Below are 6,614 nucleotides of genomic sequence, written 5' to 3' on the forward strand. Positions count from 1 at the left end.
TGTCATTTAATCTTTCTGAGCCTTAATTTTCTCGTCTGTAAAATAGATAGAATTATAAGGCCAGGTTAAGAGGCTAAGAGGGGGAACTCCTTGTGCGGATCTAAGGACCCCTCCTCGAGGCTGGGAAGAAAGAGGTGGGCAGGAGACCCTGGGCAGGGGACCATGCCCAGATCACACCCACCACAGGGAGAGGGCAGCAGAGATCTTCGGGCAGCTTGAGGGTCAGGTGGAGACAATCACCAGGGAGGGGCAGACAAGCCCTGAGGCCTCACCTGTCAACGCACTGACTCACCTCAAATATTTACTGGGCGCCTTTGAGCATGAGAACTAGACCTCTCCCTTGCCTGCCTTGGACCAGTGCCCATGGGCATGTTGAAAGCACCTGCCTGGAAGAGAGTCTGCCTTAAGAGGGTGGGTACCAACCAGGGCCACCTTGGATATGGAAAAGAAACATCATGAAAAGGAAAGAATTTCCAGGGCTCCTGGAACCGACTGAAGACTTTAGCCTTTTGGGCTCTGAGGCTGTGCCATTTGCCAGGCTCCAAAATCGCTAATCATTTTATCCTGTTCCTTTGGCAACAATAGGGTACATGTGACCTCAGCCCGGCCCATCACAGATGCCCAATTTCCAGGCCACATTGATTGGTTCAAGAGATGAGCACATGACTTACCCAACCCAATCAGAGTCTCCTCTTGGGTTTTTATACACTGAAGGAGGCTGTGGGGAGAGGAGAAAAGTCCCTTCTGTTCCTTTAGTTCACAAAGTTGGGAAAAGCGGTCTGCAGCCATACCTCCCCATCCCTAATAGCAAACAGTAAGCCTGTCTATAAGTGGGAGAGCATGATGACAGCCCCCCCAAAGAAAAGTATGAGAGTGGGAGATTGTGAACAAAACTCTGGTTCTCCCCAGCACACCCCAGGATCCTTTGGGCAGGTTGCATGGCCTCTGAACTTTGCTGCTGGATACCTTACCTGCCCCCACTCCAGTTAAGTGCACACTACAGGGCCCATGGAATCTAAGGGGAATGGCACCCCCTGGAGATGAACAGAACACATTCCACACAACCACATGAAGTAGCCCTGATTACAGGTGAGCAACTGAGGCTCAGAGGTGCAATGACACACCCAAGGTCACACAGACAAGGTGTCCAGACTCCAGAGCCCAGGTTCTGATGGCATGGCTGCCTCCTGGCCCACCCCTGGCACAGCCCAGAAGGGAGGCAGCACTCAGGACTCCAACATGAGTCTGGGAGCTGTTACTCTGGACAACGGCACCCCTGTGTCCAGGAGCCATCAGGAGGCCCTTGTTGGGCCAGCTTTATGAAGCCCTGGGCTCTTGTGAGCGAATTCATCGTACAAGTGAAAGATCAGCATGTGGCCATGGTGAAACCCTGTCTCTACTTAAAATACAAAAATTAGCTGGGTGTGGTGGTGCGCGTCTATAATCCCAGCTACTCGGGAGGCTGAGGTGGGAGAATCCCTTGAACCCGGGAGGCGGAGGTTGCAGTGAGCTGAGATCGTGCCACTGCACTCCAGCCTGTGCAACAGAGCAAAACTCTGTCTCAAAACAAAACAAAACAAAGTAAGCATGTGGGGAAGGTTTAGTAACATCTGTGGCTTTTGTCTGACCAGCAACATTCCTCCTTTCGGTAATAGAATCCCAGGTTTTCTTTGGAGACCTACTTACCTTCATTGGATACAAATAAGGGACTGTCCATAAAAATGCCTTCCCTTCCCTGGTCAGAAAGTAGACATGGGCTGGGCACAGTGCTCACATCTATAATGCCAGCACTTTGGGAGGATCACTTGAGCCCAGGAGCTCGAGAACAGCCTGGGCGACATAAGAAGACCCTGTCTCTACAAAATAAAAATAAAAAATTAGCTGGGCATGGTGATGCATACCTGTGGTTCCAGCTACTTGGGAGGCTGAGGAGAGAAGATCGCTTAAGCCAGGAAGGTCAAGGCTGCAGTGAGCCGTGATCTCACCACTGCACTCCAGCCTGGGCAACAGAGCAAGACCTTGTCTCTAAAACAAAAACCAAAAAAACGGAATGTGGACACATAACTCTAGGTTTTTTGAGCCCAGTTCTTTTGGGGCATAGTTTTTTCAGCTTGTCACCTAGTTTTTTGTGCAGCTGTGGTAGCAGGCACTGTCAGTGTCCCACCCACACTGTTTACCACTCCCCATTCTTGTGCATACCTGCGGCCTCCCTGTGCAACCCTTGCAATCCTTTGCCCGGAGGCTTTCTCTAGGAGCCCAGAGACATGAAAGGAGCTAGCCGATAGTGCCAGGGAGTTAATGGTCTCTCTTCCAGCAGCCCTCAATCAGCGACTGTTGGGAGTTGCTGGATATATACCCCAATTCCTTCACCTCTCAGTGGGGATAACTCTGCCATGTGTGCCACACAGTGTCCCAGCCATCCCTGGTTGGATTGAGGCCCAGTTTCCCCAGTGGTAACCTCAGCGATGCATACATTATTAGTTCCCTTCCCTGCCTTCCTTATTCCCACTCTCCTGCAGGTGTTTCGTGGGATTGCCTCCCAGAAAATGATTTGGAATCTAATGTGCTTTTCTCATGGTCTGCCCCTGAGTCCAACCTAAGACAATACCACATCCTTCTGGAAAATTATTATTCTGCTGAGGTTTGCCAAAATCTACTTCTGTTGCTTGCAACCCAAGGACCCTATCAAAATTCATAGTGGTCTGGAGTTGTGACATGTTGCACCAGGCTGTGATAATCTGATTTTTCTGAAGGCCATCAGAGCTCTGGAACGGAAGGGGGTATCAAGAGACTTTGTTCTAAGCTCTTTTGTATGTATGCTCAGAGGACTTGAGCCACTGGTTATGTCCATGAATGGAAATGTTTGGATGGCACAAGGTCCCAGAACACCAGGTCTCTTGAGCAGCCCCACTCCTCGATGGGTCTGTATGATAATCCCTTATGGTTGGAGGTGATCAAGCCAAGAGTCCATGCACCAGGAGAGAAGATAGGCACTGAAACTGTTTCCTGTGAGTTCAGCAGATGGTCTTGGGGTAGCTTATGGAGACAAAGCACCACACTCAGGTCTTAGAGGAGATACTAAGTTCTTAGGTCCCCAGCCAGGTTGGCTAAGAGCTAGTAGAAAATGTGGTCCTTGAAATAGAGTGCCACCTCTGTTCCCACCTATATGGACACAGCATAGGATGTCACTGGCTGGACCCAGTGGACCCACTAGAGTCCAGCTTGTCCTCAGAGCTTCCTCAAGCCCTCAGTCCAGCAGACCAAGCATCTGAAGCTGGCATCCTTACTGTCCTGAGACTTCATCCAGTGCAGGATGGATTCAAATAGTCAACACACACATGCCAGGCCCTGGGCAGAGCACTGGGGATATGAAGTGACTTAAATGTCCCCCTGTTCCTCTCTTTAAGGAAATATGAGAGATAGTCACATAGGCAAGATAAGGTCATGAAACATTACAGCTGCTGCTGGGATAGATGTCTGTGCAAACATGGTCCCCAAACTGGAGTGGGCTGAGGGTCTGAGAGGAGAGCCCAAGGGGAGGTAATAGAGGGGCACGCCAATCAGGAAGAACAGCATAAGAAAAGGCTTGGAGGCGTAAAAGCCTGCAGGTGGTTCTATCGGATGGGGTGAAGGCTCAAGTGGCCAGAGGTGAAGTTAGAGAGGCCAACAGAGGACCAGTCGTGGCGGAACTTTTATGTCATACAAACCAAGGAGCTTGGTTTTCATGCTTGAGTCATTGTGATTGAGTAACTTTAGTTGAATTGACTATCTGTAATTGAATAATATTAGGCAGAGGGATGATGTGGTCATTTTTGCATTCAGAAAGATGGCTCTGGAAGCAGAATGGATTGGAGGAGGTGAGACTGGAGGCAGGGAAACAGCATGAGTAATGAAGGTGAGAGATCGCAGAGGCTGAACTAGGGGAAATATAGAGGAGGTGATGGATATGAGAGGTGGTGAGGAGGTGAAATCAGTAAGACCTGGTTCCTGGAATGTAGAGGTGAAGGAGAAGCTCAGGATGGTCCCCAGATTAGCCTAAGGCAGTGGGGTGATGGTGGTGCTGTCCACCCAGGTGGGGGAACTGGGAGGTAGGGCAGCTCTGGGTGGACAGAAGATGGAAAGTTGACTTTTGGACATATTGAGAAGGGGGTCCATAGGATAATGGGGTGGAAGGAATATCTCTATTTCTATCACAGCTCTCACCACAGCATTTTATAGATTCCTGCTCAAGAGTCCATTCCACCTCTCCACCACTGGTGAACTGCAAGCTCCTTGAGTCCAAGTCTCACTCATCTCTGGAGTCCCAGGGACTGGCATAGTGATTGGTGCCCCACAACAGGTGCTCAATAAGTGTCCATTGAATGGTAGAGTGGATGCCCCCATGGAGGGATGACTTCAGCTCATTTCATCACTGAGCATTCCTTGGAGTCAAATCCCAAAAAAGTAGATGAAACCTCTCCTTAAAGTAGTGTCCTCCCATTGCCTGCCCCCTACAGCTCTGGACCAAGTGGAATGGGCAGGTGGGCTCTAGACCTGGGACATAGAGTTGGGTGGCTGAGGGGCCCAGGACAGGCTGTGGAGCTGGCTCAGTCCAGACCAGGTCTCCCTGGAGGGGATGCCCACACCTGGGTAGCTCACACAGGTTTCCAGGCAGGTGGGGGCACTTTGGGCTGGAGGAAGGGTGGAGCAGGATGTGAGCTGGAGGCCAGGGAAGGTGGTCCCAGGGCAAACTGGCCATGCTGGCCATGCCATCTGGCAGACCCAAGCTCTGCTGGAGCTCAGCTCCCCCACCTTAAGCTAAACAAGGCCTCTGTCCCCACCACCCATCAGCAGAACCCATGACTCAGACCTGATGGATCCAGCATTGCCGTCATCAAGGAGTGGCTGTTTACCTCAAGGAGCTGGGCACCAGGCCAATCTAAGCAGATGGCATGAAGGCTGCTGGGTGAGGCTGGGGAGTGTTGGCCCAGCCAAGGCACAGGACCCAGGTTTTCACTCTGACCTGGGGCAGAAGATGCAGGAATTGCCCAGCTTTCCTGCCTGAGCCCTGTTTTAGGTCATCTGTGTCCTGATTGTATTGATTCCAGGACCTGTGCAGGTGCCCAGGGCATTTAGGTCTTGGCCTCTCCTCTGCCTCCAGGAATCCCCACTTAAACCCTTTCCTTGGTATCACAGCAGCTACACACATCTCATCTCACATTCTCCTCTCCAGGGCCCTCACAGGTGCCCTGGGAGTCAGGCTGCTGGTGGTACAAATTGGTGAACCCAACATGGGAGATGGAAGAACATGTGCAGGCCCAAAGAGGGGAAGGGATGCACCTAAGCTCACCTAAGAAACTGGTAGCTGGGCTGGGAGCTGAGTGTACAACGAGGCCCTCACCTCCCGCCACTGACTTCCTTGTTCTTTCCATTCTGGCTCTACTGGACTCCTTGGTGTTGTAGCTGCCAACCCTGTTCCCAAGTCAAGGCTTTTGCACTTGCAGTTCCTCTGCTTGGCAGGCTCTTCCCCTGCCACCTCTGCAGGACTCGTTTCTTCTCTGCTCATGTGCTACTATTCAAAGAGAAGCCTCTCCTTTGTCACTCTCCTCTTGGCCACTTGATTTCTCTTCCACATCACATGTCATGTGTTTATTGTTGTCTTTCTTTGTTGTCTATCACCCCACTAGAACGTAAGCTCCTTAAGACAGGGACTTTCTCCATCTTATTTATAGCTGACCCCCTGGTGACTCAGAACAGTGCACAGAATATGGTAGATACTTCATAAGTATTTGTTGAATGAACACACAAACCCAGATTGCCTCACTCCTGGTCCGGAGCTCTCTCCTGTACCTCTCTATGTCTCAGAGAAGCCAGAGGAGGAAAGAGTGCAGGAGGGGTTGGCTTAGGCTGGAGGGTGGCAGCCTTACTCCTTTGCCAGAGACACAACAGGCACTGTGACCCAGGCCACACCTCCTGGGGCCTGTGTGTATCTGGGGGCTCTCTTGGGCACTCACGGCATCCCAGGGGCATGGAGGGATCAGCACTTACCTCCTCTTTTCCCAAAGCAGGCACCATCTCTGCCCTTGGGCCCACTGTGTTCTTCCCGTTCTTGGATCTGTCACGCAACATTTTTTTGAGACAGGGTCTCGCTCTGTCACCCAGGCTGGAGTATAGTGGTGTGATCACAGCTTACTGCAGCTTCTACCTCCCAGGCTCAAGCAATCTTTCTGCCTTAGCCTCCAGAATAGCTGGTACTACAAGGCACGTGCCACACTGCCTGGCTAATTTTTAAAAAATTTGTAGAGATGGGGTCTCACTACATTGCCCAGGCTGGTCTCAAACTCCTGGCCTCAAGCCATCCTCCTGCCTTAGCCTCCCAAAGTGCTGGGATTACAGGCATGAGCCACCATGCCTAGCCTCAACACTTATTGAGCACCTACTGTGTCCCACGCTCAGGACTGGGCACCAGGGCAATAGAGATAATTGAAACATTGTCCTTTTTCCCAGACAGCTTGCAGCTTAGTCAGCAGATGGATAAGCAAGGGCCACCAAAGTGCAGGGGGAAGACACGGATGGAGGAGACAGAAGGCACAATGCGAGTGGGGCATTCAGGGTGGGTGACAACAGTCATGACC

The 6,614-nt window shown here is 51.3% G+C and overlaps 1 annotated feature.

Annotated features, from left to right (window-relative positions):
* Window positions 4,122-5,321: an enhancer, noted in NCBI's record as "MED14-independent group 3 enhancer chr9:33233401-33234600 (GRCh37/hg19 assembly coordinates)". NCBI's record gives its function as "activates an origin of replication core promoter dependent on BRD2, BRD4, P300/CBP and CDK7 cofactors, and independent of MED14, by STARR-seq in HCT116 cells {active_cell/tissue: HCT116}" and the evidence as "EXISTENCE:reporter gene assay evidence [ECO:0000049][PMID:35650434]".

The sequence above is a fragment of the Homo sapiens genome, chromosome 9 (genome assembly GCF_000001405.40).
Source record: "Homo sapiens chromosome 9, GRCh38.p14 Primary Assembly".
NCBI classification, from domain to species: domain Eukaryota; kingdom Metazoa; phylum Chordata; class Mammalia; order Primates; family Hominidae; genus Homo; species Homo sapiens.